This window comes from Homo sapiens, chromosome 17, assembly GCF_000001405.40.
Source record: "Homo sapiens chromosome 17, GRCh38.p14 Primary Assembly".
In the NCBI taxonomy this organism is placed as follows: domain Eukaryota; kingdom Metazoa; phylum Chordata; class Mammalia; order Primates; family Hominidae; genus Homo; species Homo sapiens.
This window is the reverse complement of record NC_000017.11, coordinates 76,117,375-76,133,631: the sequence shown is the minus strand read 5'-3', so window position 1 is coordinate 76,133,631 and position 16,257 is coordinate 76,117,375. Positions and strand designations below refer to the sequence as shown.

General features: G+C 54.5%; 1 long non-coding RNA gene across 2 annotated transcripts, besides 5 other annotated features; it reads left to right on the top strand.

Annotated features, from left to right (window-relative positions):
- Positions 571–1,230: an enhancer, noted in NCBI's record as "H3K27ac-H3K4me1 hESC enhancer chr17:74128483-74129142 (GRCh37/hg19 assembly coordinates)". NCBI's record gives its function as "activates a minimal SCP1, AML or CMV promoter by ChIP-STARR-seq in primed H9 embryonic stem cells {active_cell/tissue: H9 hESC(primed)}" and the evidence as "EXISTENCE:reporter gene assay evidence [ECO:0000049][PMID:30033119]".
- Positions 710–1,004: an enhancer, noted in NCBI's record as "tiled region #10053; HepG2 Activating DNase matched - State 4:PromP". NCBI's record gives its function as "activates a minimal TATA promoter and a strong SV40 promoter by Sharpr-MPRA in HepG2 cells {active_cell/tissue: HepG2}" and the evidence as "EXISTENCE:reporter gene assay evidence [ECO:0000049][PMID:27701403]".
- Positions 710–1,004: a silencer, noted in NCBI's record as "tiled region #10053; K562 Repressive non-DNase unmatched - State 20:ReprD". NCBI's record gives its function as "represses a minimal TATA promoter and a strong SV40 promoter by Sharpr-MPRA in K562 cells {active_cell/tissue: K562}" and the evidence as "EXISTENCE:reporter gene assay evidence [ECO:0000049][PMID:27701403]".
- On the top strand, positions 1,112–14,403 carry LOC101928447 (uncharacterized). 2 transcript variants are annotated; one of them, XR_001753019.2, is made up of 4 exons: positions 1,112–1,211; positions 9,508–9,642; positions 12,654–12,768; positions 13,178–13,296. It is a non-coding gene; the product is annotated as an uncharacterized LOC101928447 (long non-coding RNA). The 2 variants fall into 2 exon arrangements; XR_001753018.2 differs by lacking the exons at positions 1,112–1,211; positions 9,508–9,642 and adding an exon at positions 12,079–12,204 and having other exon boundaries at positions 13,178–14,403.
- Positions 1,231–1,892: an enhancer, noted in NCBI's record as "H3K27ac-H3K4me1 hESC enhancer chr17:74127821-74128482 (GRCh37/hg19 assembly coordinates)". NCBI's record gives its function as "activates a minimal SCP1, AML or CMV promoter by ChIP-STARR-seq in primed H9 embryonic stem cells {active_cell/tissue: H9 hESC(primed)}" and the evidence as "EXISTENCE:reporter gene assay evidence [ECO:0000049][PMID:30033119]".
- Positions 11,839–12,308: a silencer, noted in NCBI's record as "silent region_9002". NCBI's record gives its function as "represses an Ori minimal core promoter by ATAC-STARR-seq in GM12878 lymphoblastoid cells {active_cell/tissue: GM12878}" and the evidence as "EXISTENCE:reporter gene assay evidence [ECO:0000049][PMID:35858748]".
- Positions 14,404–16,257: the final 1,854 nt, after the last annotated feature.

Below are 16,257 nucleotides of genomic sequence, written 5' to 3'. Positions count from 1 at the left end.
TCATTCTAACCTGCAATCTCCACTTTTGGGGTAACCAGCCCCTGCTGCACGTGACAGCCCCTGCCTGAACCACCTCTTTTGTTTTGTTTTGAGACAGAGTCTTGCTTTGTCGCTCAGGCTGGAGTGCAGTGGCACAAACTCGGCTCACTGCAACCTCCGCCTCCCAGGTTCAAGCGATTCTCCTGCCTCAGCCTCCTGAGTAGCTGGGATAACAGGCGTGCACCACCATGCCCAAATAATTTTGTATTTTTAGTAGAGACGGGGTTTCACCATGTTAGCCAGGCTGGATCCTCAAGTGATCCGCCCGCCTTGGGCTCCCAAAGTGCTGGGATTACAGGAGTGAGCCACCACGCCCAGCCCCACCTCATTTTAAGTGTTGGGGAAAGCCTGTTCCCAAAGCACGGAGCCACCCTTCTGTCCCAGAATGTCCAGCCTCTTCCCCATTCTGTCTTCCAGCTGTATCCCCCAGCTAGGAATGTGATGGAGAGAGCGGGGAGGGCCAGGATGTGGGAGGAAAGGCCAGGAGCTCAGACCTTGGATGGCTCCCCGTCCCTGCCCAGGGCACATCCTGTTAAATAGGACAGGCCACCCAGGGCCCAGTGACTCTCAGGTCTGGAAGGTCCCCAGGGATCCCCCTCAACCCTGCACTTTATGCTCCGCTGGGACAAACTGACCAGGCCCCCTGCAGAGCTGAGCTCCATCTGGGGCAGGAGTCAGGAATGGTTCTCCACCTCCTCCCCCGCCCCAGGACCCAGACTTGCCGGAAGAGGGTGAGCTGGAGGGCAGGAAAGAAGGCGGGGCGGTGGAGGGTCAGGTGCAGCTCCCTCCTGGGCTGAGGCCCAAAGGTAAATAGGTGTAGGTGCGCTCCCGGCAGGGGGCAGTGGGCTGGTCCCTTGGGGCAGGCCTGGGCCTGTCGGGGGTGGGGATGTGGGAAGGGGCCGCCGAGCCGGCCTTGTTAACAATGGGGTGGGGGAGGAGCCCGGGCCCTGCTGACACATTCTTGTTTGGTGAGGAGGAAAACACAGGTGACCGGGGCGGGCGGGGGGGGAGGATGGGGGCGGCACCTCGGGCAGGGGAGGGGGCTTTATGGGCCCCCGCATGCCAAAGCCTCGCTGACTGGTGTGAGCTGAGGAGCAGGTGAAGCGCAGAAGGCCCTCAGGGGCTGCATTCTTCCCGGGGCACCTGTGTCTGCCCCACTCTGTGGCTCCCAGGTGAGCAGGTCAAAGCTTCTGGGCATGCTGGGGCTTGAACCTTCCCTGCCTGCGTCAGAAGTTGGCAGGGGCCAACTGGAAGGACATTGTCCCCCAGAAGCCAGCCAGCCTGAGCTGGCAGGGCAAGGAGAGGTTGGGGGACCGTAACGGAAGGGGCTGTCGGGGATGAGGGTCTCCCTACTGGCCCCTGATAGCCTTCCAGTACAGCCCTGAACTGACTCCCACCAGCCCCTCACCTGCCCTTGGGCCGCACCACCCTGTTCTGAGGACAGAGAGGTCTGAGCCCCAGGACCCGCGCTCCCAGGAAAGTAGGAGTTCCAGGAATTGGAGAGGGTGTGCATACCTCCACGAAGCCCACCCCGCCCACAGCCCCCAGGGCCCTTTGAAGCCAGAACCGCAGCGGGATTGCGGTGGGCAGGCCTCCCAATGCTGCTGTTTGCCCAGGGAATTAAGTTGAGGTGGGGCAGCTGCCCACAGCTCTCCCCTTGCCCAGCCACCCACAGGCTCCGTCTACAGCCCCGCACACCCCTACCAGCTGCCCTGCCTCTCTTCCTGCCTAACCCTGGGTACCAAGCCCTGTCCCCATCCCCACTGAGCAACAGAGTGCCTTCAATTTCCTTCGAGTGAACTGTGCCCATGAGTTGGGCAGGGGAAAAGGAGGGGTGGACTGGGATACAGACCCTACCTACTAAGCCCACAGGTCTGCAGACCCCTGTGGGAAGATGGCCTGTCTTGGTGATTCCTACCTTTGAAGCATCACAGCCCCCAACGTGTTAAGTATTTTTTGAATAGATGAATGAATATATGTGCTGGCTGGCAGATCAACACAAGATAGAAAAGCAGCCGAGAAGCCAGATAGTCAACACCCAGGGGTTCTCCAGTCCCTGGGCTGGGAACATTCCCGAGGCCTCTGGAGGCAGTGGTTTGACCCAAGGGTGTGCAGAGGTAGAAGGCATTGCAGCCCAGGGAGAACTTGGAGGAAAGCCCCATTGCTGCCCCGTTCTGGAATTGAGCGAGGGGGGCAGGCTGTTGACCCTGTGGATTTGGGGGCCTCTCGTGTGGAAGTGAGAACAGAGGGAGGGTAGCGGAGAACGAGGACCACCACTAGGAAACCAGGGGACCAGGGAGGAGGAGGCAAAGCCGAGAGGGAGCGGGAGGACGCCTGGGAACTCGGGCAGGGGGAGCCACTGCGCTCACACACCTGTTCCCCACCCCCTGAAGGGAGCGCCCACAGTGCTGAGCGCCGCAGGGCAGCCTGAGTGGGGGCAGCGGAAGCCGGCATTGGCCCTGGAGGTCCCGGCGGCCTCCCATGGGGCTGTGTCCTTAGTGCAGTTGGTGGGGTGCGGGGAGAGTGAGAGCAGGCAGCAAACTCCAGCTCCAAATGGGGAGAAAGAAAGGAGAGGGGTGCGGACAGGGGTGAGGGCAGACCCAAGGAGAGCTTTAAGATGGGAGGCCTGGGGGTGTTTGAAGGAAAGAAGGGGTACGGGTGACCCCGAGGGGTTGGCAGTGCTGAGAGAGCTCCTGGTGAGAGCAGGAGGAAGAGGGTCTCAGAGGAGGCAGGAAGGGTAAGCGCCGGCCCCTTTCTTGGAGAGGGAAGAGGAAGAGGATGGGGAGGTGGTGGGGCCGCGCCAGGGTGAACCGGAGGGTGTGGGGAGCTCTGGCTAATGTGCGGAACTATGGGGTGTAAGGGGCGGAACGGTGGAGGAGCAGGTCTGCAGTAACTTGGAAGGGCACTCAGGAGCAAGAGGAGCAGAGAGGAGGGACAGGAGCCCCGAGAGGGGCAGGGGCCCCGGGAGGTCAGGGTAGCTGACCTGCACCCAGCTCGCAGGACGCAGCTGGAGGCCGGAGATTCTCAGCTGCAGGAGAGGAAGGCCAGGGTCCCAGGTGCTGCTGGATACTGGTCAGTCACTCACCTGGTGACCTGGTTCCTTAGACCTTTGAGCTGAGTCAGGGAGGGGCAACAAGGAATGAGACCTCGTCTTGGGGAGCCTTTCTAACCCACCGAGCTGGGAAGCCCACAGCCTTACCCATAGGACTCACAGACTCTGAGGCTAAAATGTTTGGGCATTGCAGCTTCAAGGCAAGAATCCTGTTCTCGGAGCTTTGCTCATGAGGTATGGTTCCTTTTCCAAGCTGAGTCTCCTAGAACCCTCCTTCATTACCCAGAAGCCTCTCAGGCACCCCTCAAACATGCTATGGGCACCTCAAACTCTCCGTATGCCTGGCTGGATTCCCCTTCTCCCTGCGTGGGCCTTCCTCACGCTGCACCCCCACTCGGGACTGGCACCCCCAGCCAGCTGTCTCCCAGCCCACTGCCCTCGCTCCAGTATGTTCTCTACCTAACAGCCACTGGGCCTTTCTTTTTTCTTTTTCTATTCTTTTTCTTTTCTTTTCTTTTCTTTTTTTTTTTTTAATGGAATCTTACTCTGTCGCCCAGGTTGGAGTGCAGTGGCGTGATTTCGGCTCACTGCAACCTCCACCTCCTGGGTTCAAGCAATCCTCTTGCCTCAGTCTCCCGAGTAGCTGGGATTACAGGTGTCCACCACCATGCCCGGCTAATGTTTTGTATTTTTAGTAGAGATGGGGTTTCACCATGTTGGCCAGGCTGGTCTTGAACTCCTGACCTCAGGTGATCCACCCACCTCGGCCTGCCAAAGTGCTGGGATTACAAGCGTGAGCCACCACACCCTGTCTCTTTCTCTTTTTCTTTTTTTTTTTTTCTTTGAAACTGAGTCTCTCACTCTTGCCCAGGCTGGAGTGCAGTGACACAATCACAGATCACTGCAGCCTCGACTTCCTGGGTTCAAGCAATCTTCCCAGCTCAGCCTCCCGAGTAGCTGGGACTAGAGGCACATGCCACCACGCCTGGCTGTTTTTTTAATTTTTTATGGAGATGGGGTCTCACCAGTTTGCCCAGGCTGGTCTCAAACTCCTGGGCTCAAGTGATCCTCCTGCCTCAGCCTCTGAAAGTGCTCAGATTACAGGTGTGAGCCACCACACCTGGCTTTTTTTTTTTTTTTAAGGAAAAATTTTTACATCATAACAGTACATGCACCTGGAATAAATATCAATCTTTTTTTTTTTCTTTTTTGAGATGGAGTCTCGCTCTGTCGCCCAGGCTGGAGTGCAGTGGCGCGATCTCGGCTCACTGCAAGCTCCGCCTCCGGGGTTCACGCCATTCTCCTGCCTCAGCCTCCCGAGCAGCTGGGACTACAGGCGCCCACCACCACGCCCAGCTAATTTTTTGTATTTTTAGTAGAGACGGGGTTTCACCGTGTTAGCCAGGATGGTCTCGATCTCCTGACCTTGTGATCCGCCCTCCTTGGCCTCCCAAAGTGCTGGGATTACAGGCGGAAGCCACCGCACCCGGCCATAAATATCAATCTTAAAAAGACTTAGTATGTTAAAAAGTTTAAAAAAAAACACAAAAGGTCACTAGCTCTTCCTTCAGGTCCTGCTCCTCTGGTAACCATAACCAACCACTTTCAGTTCTTTCACTGGTTCAAATAATCCCTGCTGTTCTTTTTTTTTTTTTTTTTTTTGGGACGGAGTCTCACTGTGTCGCCCAAACTGGTGTGCAGTGACACTATCTTGGCTCACTGCAACCTTCGCCTCCTGGATTCAAGCAATTCTCCTGCCTCAGCATCCCAAGTAGCTGGGATTACAGGTGTGCACCACCACGCCCAGCTAAATTTTGTATTTTTGGTAGAGACGGGGTTTCACCACGTTGAACAGGCTGGTCTCGAACTCCTGACGTCAAGTGATCTGCCCACCTTGGCCTCCCAAGGTGCTGGGATTACAGGCATGCGCCACCATGCCCAGCCTTATGCTTCTAATTAATACTACCATCGCTGGATCTTCAATTTATTTGAATGTTATCCAATGGCTTCCTGCCATAGAAGGTAAGGATATGGCTCGATTCCCTCCTCTATCCTCCTATTTGGTCAGATTTTTGGTTAAACAGCCAGACACCATGTGATTGCCATGGCGTGGTGCATATTGCTCACTGCAGAGCCCAGCAGTGCACTCTGAGTATATGTCCTTTCATAAAGGATGCAGGAGTTAATAATTACCTCATTTCTTGTCATTTTTTAGATTTTTTGTGCTCTTATAGCTGATTATTCACAAATGTCCCAAAAAGTCTTACAAATCCTTATCAATGCCATTCTCTATGAATACCTTTTAAAAAATCCATAAATAGGCCAGGCATGGTGGCTCATGCCTGTAATCTCAGCACTTTGGGAGGCAGAGGCAGGTGGATCACCTGAGGTCAGGAGTTCGAGACCAGCCTGGCCAACATGGCGAAACCCCGTCTCTACTAAAAAATGCAAAAATTAGCCAGGCATGGTGGCACGCACCTGTAATCCCAGCTACTCAGGAGGCTGAGACAGGAGAATCGCTTGAACCCAGGAGGCGGAGGTTGCAGTGAGCCGAGATTGTGCCACTGTACTCCAGCCTGGGCAAGAGGCGCAAGACTCCGTCTCAAAAGAAAAATAAAAAGGCTGGGCATGGTGGCTTATGCCTGTAATCCAAGCACTTTGGGAGGCCAAGGTGGGTAGATCACTTGAGGTCAGGATTCCTTCCTTCCTTCCTTCCTTCCTTCCTCTTTTTTTTTTTTTTTTTTCGAGATGGAGTCTCGCTCTGTCACCCAGGCTGGAGTGCAATGGCGTGATCTTGGCTTACTGCAATCTCCGCCTCCTGGGTTCAAGCGATTCTCCTGCCTCAGCATCCCGAGTAGCTGCGACTACAGGCGCCCACCACCACTCCCAGCTAATTTTTTGTATTTTTAGTAGAGATGGGGTTTCACCGTGTTAGCCAGGATGGTCTCGATCTCCTGACCTTGTGATCCACCCGCCTCGGCCTCCCAAAGTGCTGGGATTACAGGCATGAGCTACTGCACCCAGCCTCTTTTTTCTTTCTTGTTTTGCTTTCTTTCTTTCACTTTGGAGCTACCTATCATAAGCTCTCACTTTCAAGTTGAAGGTTTTTCTCAAATGTCTAGTCGTACTGGCTGTAAATTCATTTTTTAAATTGAAGTGCTAAAAAGCTAACTACAAGGTCAGCAAGTAGAGGCAGTTGGTCAACTATTGGGCTTTATTGTAGGACAACCTAGCCTTTTTGCAGGAGGGCTCTAATGATCAATACCAGCAGACCTTTCCTCCAAGGTCATGTTATTAGCTCAGAGAAAAATCTTCTAGTTTACCCCTACAGGGTTTGAGCCTGGCGTGATGGCTGCTGAGCCAGGAAGGGGTTTGGGGTTTTGTTTTTCAAGATGCAGACTTCTTTCACTTAATATCCTTGTTTTCACCCCAGTGTCTGATCCCTACCACCTACAAGTGCCTAGTGTCCCCTGGTCCAGGACCCAGTTCAATTGCTCCAGAAAATAAACCCCAATCTCAGTGGGGTTGGAGCTGGGGAGGAACATTGTAGGGAGGGGGAAGACAGGGGGCTAGAGATCTGCTCAGTGCAAAAACTTCAGCTTTGTGTTCTGACCTTTTGCAGAATCTGGGGGAAAAATCATTCAACTTCCTTTTGGTATCCCCTTCTGCATACCTGCCCAGGAGCTGGCCCCTCTGCTCTCTGACACTTCCTCTTCATCTTCATGTGTTCTCAGCCTAGATTTGCTGAAATCTCTCATCAGACGTTATCTCCCCTTCTGGTTTTTTATTTTTTTTTCCTTGTGGATTCATGTTTTTTTGTTTTTTATTTTTGAGATGGAGTCTGGCTCTGTCTCACCCAGGCTGGAGTGAAGTGGTGTAATCTCAGCTTACTGCAGCCTCTGCCTCCTGGGTTCAAGTGATTCTCCTGCCTCAGCCTCCCATGTAGCTGGACTACAGGCATGTGCCACCACATCTGGCTAATTTTTGTATTTTTGGTAGAGATGGGGTTTTGTCATGTTGGTCAGGCTGGTCTTGAACTCCCGACCTCGTGATCCACCCGCCTCGGCCTCCCAAAGTGCTGGGATTAAGGCGTGAGCCACCGCGCCCGGCCTATTTTGTTCTTATTGAGGTAAAATTCATGTACAATTAAATGAGCTGATCTTAAGTGTACTGTTCAAACCATTTTGACAAATATATATCAAAACACAGAAAATTTCCTCATGCCCCTTTCCAGGGGATCCCTACCATCACCCCATCCCTAAGCAACCACTCATTTGATTTCTATTGCCATCGGTCAGTTTTGCCTGTTCTAGAATTTCCTATGAATGGCACCAGACAGTTTGTACTTTGTGTTCAGCTTCCTTCACTCAGCATGTTAGTTTTGGAATTTAACTATGTTGTTGCATGCATCAGTAGTTTGTTCCTCTTCATGGCTGAGTAGTATTTCATCAGCTGATGGTAGCTATTTGTTTATCCAGTCCCCTCTTGATGGATATCTGGGTTGTTTCCAATTTTGATCTATTGTGAATAAAGCTGCTATGAACAGTCTTGTACAGGGCTTTTTGTCATACAGCTTTGTTTAAAAAAAATCCCTTTACTTTTCACTTGCATGGGGTTTCGGAAGTGAAGACATACATGTGTATAATATATCTGCCATGTCCAACAGGACTACCCTGAGTTGATTCTTTTTTTTATTTTTTATTTTTGAGATGGAGTCTTGTTCTGTCGCCCAGGCTGGAGTGCAGTGGTGCGATCTCAACTCACTGCAACCTCCGCTTCCCAGGTTCAAGCGATTCTCCTGCCTCAGCCTCCCCAGTAGCTGGGGACTACAGGTGCCTGCCATCACGCCTGGCTAATTTTTGTGTTTTTAGTAGAGACGAGATAGGGTTTCACCATGTTGCCTGGGCTGGTCTCGAACTCCTGATCTCAAGTGGTCTGCCCACCTCAGCCTCCCGAAGTGCTGGGATTAGAGGCACGAGCCACTGCACCCAGCCCCTGACTTGATTCTTCAAACAGATGGCCCAGGTATCCAGCAGGAGTGCAGGGAGGAAAAGAGTTTCAGGCAGAAGGCGGGGAGTGAGCAAAGGCATGGAGGTGGGACCCCCACCAGTGTGCCCAGGGGCTGCTAGCCTCTCAGTGCTAGGGAAGATGAGGGGCCAGGGTGACCCTTTTCAAGTGCCGCTCTGGCCACTCCTCAGCTAACTGCAATGAGTTCCTTCGCCTACAGGAGGAGCTTCGGGCCCCCTAAGCTCCATCAAGATCTGACTCCTGCTCATCCCTCATCTTCTCCCCTCCCCTCCCCTCTGTGACCAGTCACACTAATGCACCACTGAGAATCACTATTTCCACTCTTCCTGTCCCAATCCCTGCCTTCTGCCTTGAATGAGCACCCTCCCGCTCTCCCGCTTCACCTGGGTAACGCCCTTCAGGACTTAGTTCCAGAGTCCCCAGTCCTGGTCTCCACCTGGGTTAGGTGTGGGCTCTGGGCCCCCACAGCATCCTCAACACACCCCACCTGCCAGAGCCCGGGACAGCAGGCGCATGGTATTGATGACCATACAATGGCCAGCGAGGTTGTCAGTCCCCTTCCCAAGTGGTTCTCTTGGCCCTCTCCGTGTCTAGCACCTGAAGGAGATGTGAAGAGGTGGGAAGGAGGAAAATAAACCAGCCCGCGGGGTGCGTGTCACCGTGCCATCCAAGCCCAGGTCTTAAAACTCAGGCGCGAGCCTTTTCTCTCAGTGCGGCTGGTGACACCTGCAGAGGGAGGGTCCTCCCTGCATCGCCATCCTGGCAGAACTTGTGCCAGCCTTTTTGGCTCTTCTGTTTGAGCAGGCGGTTGGTAAGACACATCGGGATCCCCAGGCTGGTACCTGAACCAACATCAGCTCTGGCAATGCCACCTCTCTCACAGAAGAGCGGGCCTGGCTGGAGCAGAGTTGGGGCTGGGGGTCCCCGGACACTCGCTCTGCCCCTAGCTGGCCAGAGTTCCAGAAAGCCCACATCCCATGGTCCACCCTTGACCCTGAGCCCTTTGAGCTGGTGGGTCTAGAACTCAGTTTGGGGGATGACCTCCACCACAATCCCTTTCCCTGCTTCACCCCTGCAGCCTGGTGAGTGCCTCCAGGGCAGAGGACAAGTGCGGGGGGCCTCTGTTCCTGCCTGCCCAGGACCCGTGCCCCTCGCCTGCTGCCAGCACAGACTGCCCACTGTGGGGCTCCTGGCTGCTGGCTGGGGTTCAAGTTTGTTGGGGGAAGCACCTTGGCTGGGCCCTGAGCTCTGGGAGACACCACATCAGCTGGCTGGGCCTCTGGCAGACCCCAGCTCCAAGTCTGGTCCTGAGGAGCTGCAGGCCCAGATTCCTTCAGGGGTGCTAGCCGGAGGTGGGGTTTGTCTGTTTGCCCTTTTGTGGGAGGCAGGAGCAGCTGGAGTACCCCTCAATGACAGCAGCAAGCACCTGTCATCTGCAGGAGGCCTCAGGAGCCATCTAGTGTCACCTATAGCTGAAGAAAATGAGGCACAGAGAGGACACAGCTCTGAGGACGGTGGCACAGGTGAGGCTGGCTTCTCGTGGGCACTGCCTGCTGGGGGACCTATGTGGATGTCTGCCACCTCTCCACTCACCACAGCAGCATCTGTGTCTCCCCTGCTGGACTGGGAGCTCCGGGAGGGCAGTGTGCAGTTCTCTGTGGCACCTGGCCGGAGTCAGGTATGGCACATGCTTGGTGCTCAGCAGAGCATGGTGGCATGGATAGGGGGTGGCAGGATGCACCCTAATTCTCACAATGACTTACTGGCAGAGCCAGATCCAAAAGCCAGAGTTTCCAGCTGGGCAGATAGAGGGGAACTATCAGAAAGGCAGCTCAGGAGGCTGGGCATGGTGGCTCACGCCTGTAATCCCAGCACTTTCGGAGGCTGAGGCGGGGAGAATCACCTGAGGTCAGGAGTTCGAGATCAGCCTGACCAACGCGGTGAAATCCCATCCCTACTAAAAATAAAAAAATTAACCTTGCGTGGTGGTGCACACCTGTAGTCCCAGCTACTTGGGAGGCTGAGGCAGGAGAATCGCTTGAACCCGAGAGGTGGAGGTTGCAGTGAGTGCAGTGGCGCAATCTCAGCTCACTGCACTCCAGGCTGGGCTACAAGAGTGAAACTCTGAAAAAGAAAAAGAAGGAAGGAAGGAGGGAGGGAGGGAGAGAGCGAAAGAAAGCGAGAAAGAGAAGGGAGAGAGAAAGAAGAGAGAGAGAAGGAAGGAAGGAAAGAAGGAAGGAAGCAAAGAAGGAAGGAAGGAAAGAAGGAAGGAAGGAAGGAGAGAGAGAGAGAAAGAAAGGAAGGAAGGAAGGCAAGCAAAGCAAGGCAACTCAGGCCTGTCCCGCCTGTCCCTCTGCCCTCAGGGGCCCAGGCCTCACCTCCAGCCCAGTCTCCTCCCTGGCCTCATTAAAAAGCCCTTATTGAAGAAGGAAGTGTGTGTGGTGTCCCCCCAGGGAATACACGCTGAGATATCTCTGCTCATTCATTCATTCATTTCAGGCAGACAGGAGGACCCTTCCGTGAGTGTGAACGACAGGCAAGCCCACAGAACAAGAGCACACTGGGGACTCCCTTCAGGGTCATCTCACTCAATCCCCTGCCTCAGGGCAGCTATCCAGTCAGGGAAAGAGGCCTCCTGGTTTCCCACCGCAGGGGCAGGATCCATCGGTCCTCAGTTTGGGGTTGGCGGGGAACGGTGGAAACCTAGCTCTCGGCCTGCTCCCGGGCAGGGCTTCCCTGTGCCCTCCCGCCCCCAGCCAGCAGCCTGTGTCTTCTAATTTACTGCCCAAGGCACTGCACCCTCCTCATTTGCGGCCCCCAGGCCACTGCTGCCAGGCAGCCCACCCCTCCGAGGCTCCTCTCCAAACACAGTGCAACCTCAGCTGACGCCGGGGCCCCAGGGCCGCTCTGCCTCCGCTCCCGCCACACTCAGCTGTCCTCTCCGACACCCCCGGCCCCCTCCCTACTTCCCAGCTTTCCTTCCATAAGGCCGGTTCCTGTCCTGAGGCCCCCTTCTCCCATCCTTCAAAATCCAGTCCATACGCCTGTGCCTCGGCCTCCTTGAAACGCCCCACAGCTGTGGCTGTTCCCCCAACCCAGGCCGCAGCCCTGTGCCTCTCCTGTGGCCTGGATGACCCAGGCCTGCAGCGCACCCCAAATTCCCAAATGTTTCCAACAGCACCATCTTCTTATCCGGGGTCTCCTCTCTCTTCCCGCTTCCTGCCTCGCTGACGCTGAGTTCGTGAACAAATGAACGAACCTGCCCGACCCGGGAAAGATCCCGCCTGGCGGGGGCCTGTGCGGGGCCCTTCCTGGGGACAGCGCCACTCGCCTCCGTCCCGCTCCCCACCGCAGCCCGGCACGGAGAAAGCGCTGAGTCACGTTCCGGGCACGCGGCCCCAGGGGAGCCAGGCCTCAGGGGCGCACCTGGACCCGTGGGGGCTCCTGGGCCTGCTGGGGGAACGCCTGGGCCCGCGATGGGGGGCGCCCGCACCCGCACCCGCTGCCCAGCGCAGCCCCCGCAGCGTCCCCGGTTGCCTGGAGCCACGGGCCGGGCAGCAGCGGGTGCCAGAGGCTGACGCCACCGCGGCTTGCCAGCCGAACCCCCCTTCCGGACTGGTTCAGAGGAATGGAGGGTGGGGGGCACGAGACGCCCCCAGCAGGCTGCCCCGACCCCTGGTTTCCTGTCCAACCCCCAGGTCGCGTTCCCGGGACCCTCTGGATGCCCCCTCGTTGTTTGCCTCCCCTCCATCTCCACGTTCCCTCCCTCTTCAGCGCCCCCTCCTGCCCCCGTTCTGTCCCCACCCATGACCCTGGCCCCTGGGCCTCTCCCTTCCTCTGCACCCTGGGCCTTCTCGGAGGTTCCAGCTGCGCGAGCGCGGTGGAGGCCAAGGGTGGTGTGGGGCGCCCCCTCGCGGCCCGGCCTGGCCCGGCCCGGCCCGGGCTCGCCTCACCTCCCCGCCTGCTTAAGCCCTCCCGGAGCGCTCGGGGTTCGACCCCCGAGCACGGCGGGAGGAGGGCGCCCCCCTGCGGCACAGCCACGTCCACGAAGCCCCTCCCGGGGTTCTAGAAAGCGGAGGCCTCCGGTAATAGGGGCTAAGGCTGGGCTAGGGGGACAGGGGACAGGCCCTCCCAGCTCCTCCCCTGTCGAGCCAGGAGGGGTGAGGGAGAGGGGGAGAAGTGTGTGTGTGTGTGTGTGTGTGTGTGTGTGTGTGTGTGTGTGTGTGTGTGTGTGTGTGTGTGTGTGTGATGTGTGTGGTGTGTGTGTGTGTAGTGTGTGTGTGTGTGTGTGTGTGTGGCGCAGATAAGGGGCCATGGCCTAGGACAGCCAGGCAGTGAGTGGCAAGCGCCTGATGGGTTGCTTTTCCTTCATTTTACAAGCCAGGAAGTCTTCCTGCGGTGGGGTTTGCAGAACCAGCAGAATCCCTCCTGGGGCCACCATGTTCCCGGCACCGTTCTGAGCCTTTGTAACGCTAATCTCCTGTAGTGAGTGCCTGGGGAGGGTTGGGGGGCTGTAATATTGTTGTCCTTGCAGAAGGAAAGACCAAGATGCAGAGAGATGTCTAAAAGGTGCCAGAAGGTGACTATCCAGCCCTGGTATCACTGCCTGGTGATTTCGTTTCTTTGATCTTCACGAATGGCCTCACTGGGTGAGTCCAGGGGCCAGGAGGTTCAAGATGCTGTCAATGACTCAGGACTGTTTGGGGGCAGATAAGAGGAGGTGAGGGGTTCCACGGGTTCTGGATAAATTGATCAGAACTCAGAACACATTTCTAAGCAGTGATCATTAGCTGCAGAAGCCGATTTTGTTCCTAACGTACTCCAACTACAGCTGGAAAGGCCAGGGAAGAACTGGAGTGGGCACCGGCTAACATTTCTTGAGCACCTACTAGGTACCAGGCCTTTTATATGCGCCATGTCACTTAATTTACCTCAAATCCAAGGGGCCTTTGTGGTGTGTTATTCAGAAGTCACAGGGCTAATTAGGGGCAGGGCTGGGATCAGACGGGCCTGTCTGGCCTCACACCTGGGTTCTTTTTCCTCCACTCTGCCATTCAGCTGTGATTTGGACAGAAATCAGCTGCCACGTGCAACATTCTCCCATGGGAACATGTGTCCGCAGTACCTATCTCAGAGCCCAAATCCTTCCTGCCCCACAGCCTTCTCCTGGAACCTGCCTTGGGTAAGCTGAGAAATTGGTATGGGAGGTGTGGGGGTGGGACAGAGTGTGCAGGTCTCTGGCCACAAGAGAAGCAGGAAGGGATAAAGATTCCTCCCAATGTATCTCCTGGCCTGGGTGTTTCTGCTGCCCACAAGTATGTTGCTGTGATTCTCAGGTCAAAGAGGCTCTCAGTTGCCTCAAAAGCTGCACCCTCGGCTGGGCTTGGTGGCTCACGCTTGTAATTCCGGCGCTTTGGGAGGCCAAGGCAGGTAGATCACTTGAGGTCAGGAGTTCGAGACTAGCCTGACCAATATGGTGAAACCCTGTCTCCACTAAAAATACAAAAAAATTAGTTGGGCATGGTGGTGGGTGCCTGTAGTCCTAGCTTCTCGGAAGGCTGAGACAGGAGAATTGCTTGAACCCAGCAGGCAGAGGTTGCAGTGAACCGAGATCGTGCCACTGCACTCCAGCCTGGGTGACATAGTGAGACTCTGTCTCAAAAAAAAAAAATACTGCACCCCGACCTCCTTCACTTTGCCTTCCCTGGGACGTGTACGCCATCCCTTTGATCCTCCTTCCTCGCCCCTCCTCCTCCTCCTGGAGTTAGCCTTCATGCACTTGTTTATTTGCTCATCATAGATTTACTGGGTACCCTGAACACCCTCTGGGTCGGGCCAAGGCCAGGTGCTGGGGAGGTGCCCTTTAGAGGCCCCGCTGAGCCTTCTGGTCACGCATGGCAATTCCATCAGCCCTGGCCCGGCACCCCTCTTGTTTGTGTCACTCAGCTGTGAAGACCTGTTGCCCATGCTTGTCTTTGATCTCCCCCAGCGGGGCTTCTGCTGGCTTAGCCTTTCCTCCCTCCAGCTCTGCCTGTGAGGTCCAGTGATCCTTCCGGGCAGTGGACCCTGCTCTGTGGGCACCTCACAGGCTCCGCAGGAAGCTTCTGGCTTCCAGCACCCCCTCACCTTGCTCACACTTTGCCTCCACCCCTCAAGCAGGCATGATTCCTCAGTGATGCCCCAGACTCTATAAGGACCTGAATTCAAACCAGTTTGCTTAGGGGACATTCAATTTGTAGCTGTGAAAATGAATTTAAAGTTCACCTGAAAAAAAAAGAACAAAAGTAGACTATCCAGGCCGGGCGCTGTGGCTCACGCCTGTAATCCCAGTACTTTGGGAGGCCGAGGCGGGCGGATCACGAGGTCAGGAGATCGAGACCATCCTGGCTAACACGGTGAAACCCCATCTTTACTAAAAATACAAAAAATTAGCTGGCGTAGTGGCGGACACCTGTAGTCCCAGCTACTCGGGAGGCTGAGGCAGAAGAATGGCGTGAACCCGGGAGGCGGAGCTTGCAGTGAGCCGAGATCACGCCACTGCACTCCCTCCTGGGCGACAGAGCGAGACTCCGTCTCAAAAAAAAAAGTAGACTATCCAGGACTTTTTTTAGGAGGGGGGAAAATAAAAAACCATGAAAGATATATCCCTCACCAAATATTAAATGAATAATTAAGTTAAAAAGCTTTTTTGCTTTAACTGGTTTGGTACTGTTGCTGAAATATGCAAAAGCAATTCAATGGAACAGAATACACCCAAGAAATAGATCCAGATATCTACATGGAAGAAACGGTATCCAGACTGCGAAAAAACTCAGATGGCTCAGTAATATAAACTTAAAAAAAAAAAAGTACGAGAAAAGAACACAGGTGTTTTATTTATCCCAAGCTAAGCTTTTTTTTTTTTTTTCCTCAGACAGAGTCTCATTCTGTCTTCCCAGTTGGAGTGCAGTGGAATGATCTCGGTTCAAACGATTCTCCTGCCTCAGCTTCCTGAGTAGCTGGGATTACAGGCGTGCGGCACCAGGCCCAGCTAATTTTTGTATTTTTAGTAGAGACGGGGTTTCACCATGTTGGCCAGGCTGGTCTCACACTGCTCACATCAGGTGATCTGCCTACCTCGGTCTCTCAAAGTGCTGGGATTACAGGTATGAGCCACCGCGCCCTGCCTGGGATAAGCTTTTCTAAGCAAGACACAAAACCAAAAAGCTGTAAAACAGAAAGTATGAATGGCCAGGCATGGTGGCTCACGCCTGTAATCCCAACACTTCGGGAGACCAAGGTGGGCAAATCACAAGGTCAAGAGATCAAGACCATCCTGGCAACGTGGTGAAACCCCGTCTCTACTAAAAATACAAAAACAAAAATTTTTACAAATTACAAAAATTAAAAATACAAAAATTAACTGGGCATGGTGGCGTGCACCTGTAGTCCCAGCTACTCAGGAGGCCGAGGCAGGAGAATCGCTTGAACCCAGGAGACAGAGGTTGCAGTGAGCCGAGATCGCACCACTGCACTCCAGCCTGGGCAACAGAGCGAGACTCCATCTCAAAAAAAAAAAGAAAAAAGAAAGAAAGTCTGATAAACATAAATCATAAATAAAACATGAACAAATGAAAGAATTAAAACTCCACTAGCACAAAATAGCAACAATAAATGAAATTAAACCGCATATTTTTATTTTTTTCAAGACAGGGCCTTGCTCTGTCACCCAGGCTGCAATGCAGTGGCACAATCAACGTTCACTGCACTCTCAACCTTTCAGGTTCAAGCAATTCTCCCGCCTTAGCTTCCCAAGTAGCTGGGACCCACCTAATTTTTGTATTTTTTGCAGAGACAGGGTTTTGCCATGTTGACCATGCTGGTCTCAAACTCCTAAACTCAGGGAATCCACCCGAAATGGCCTCCCAAAGTGCTGGGATTATAAGCGTGAGCCACCATGCCTGGCCCACATGATAATGAAAATGGGAAAAAATAAGAAAAAGATTTTCATATAAATGATTAAATAATATTCTTTAACGGCCAAAGAATTGGCTGGGTGCAGTGGCTAATGCCCGTAATCCTAACACTTTGGGAGGCCGAAGTGGGTGGATCACTTGGGGTCAGGATTTTGAAACCAACCTGGCCAACATGGTGAAACC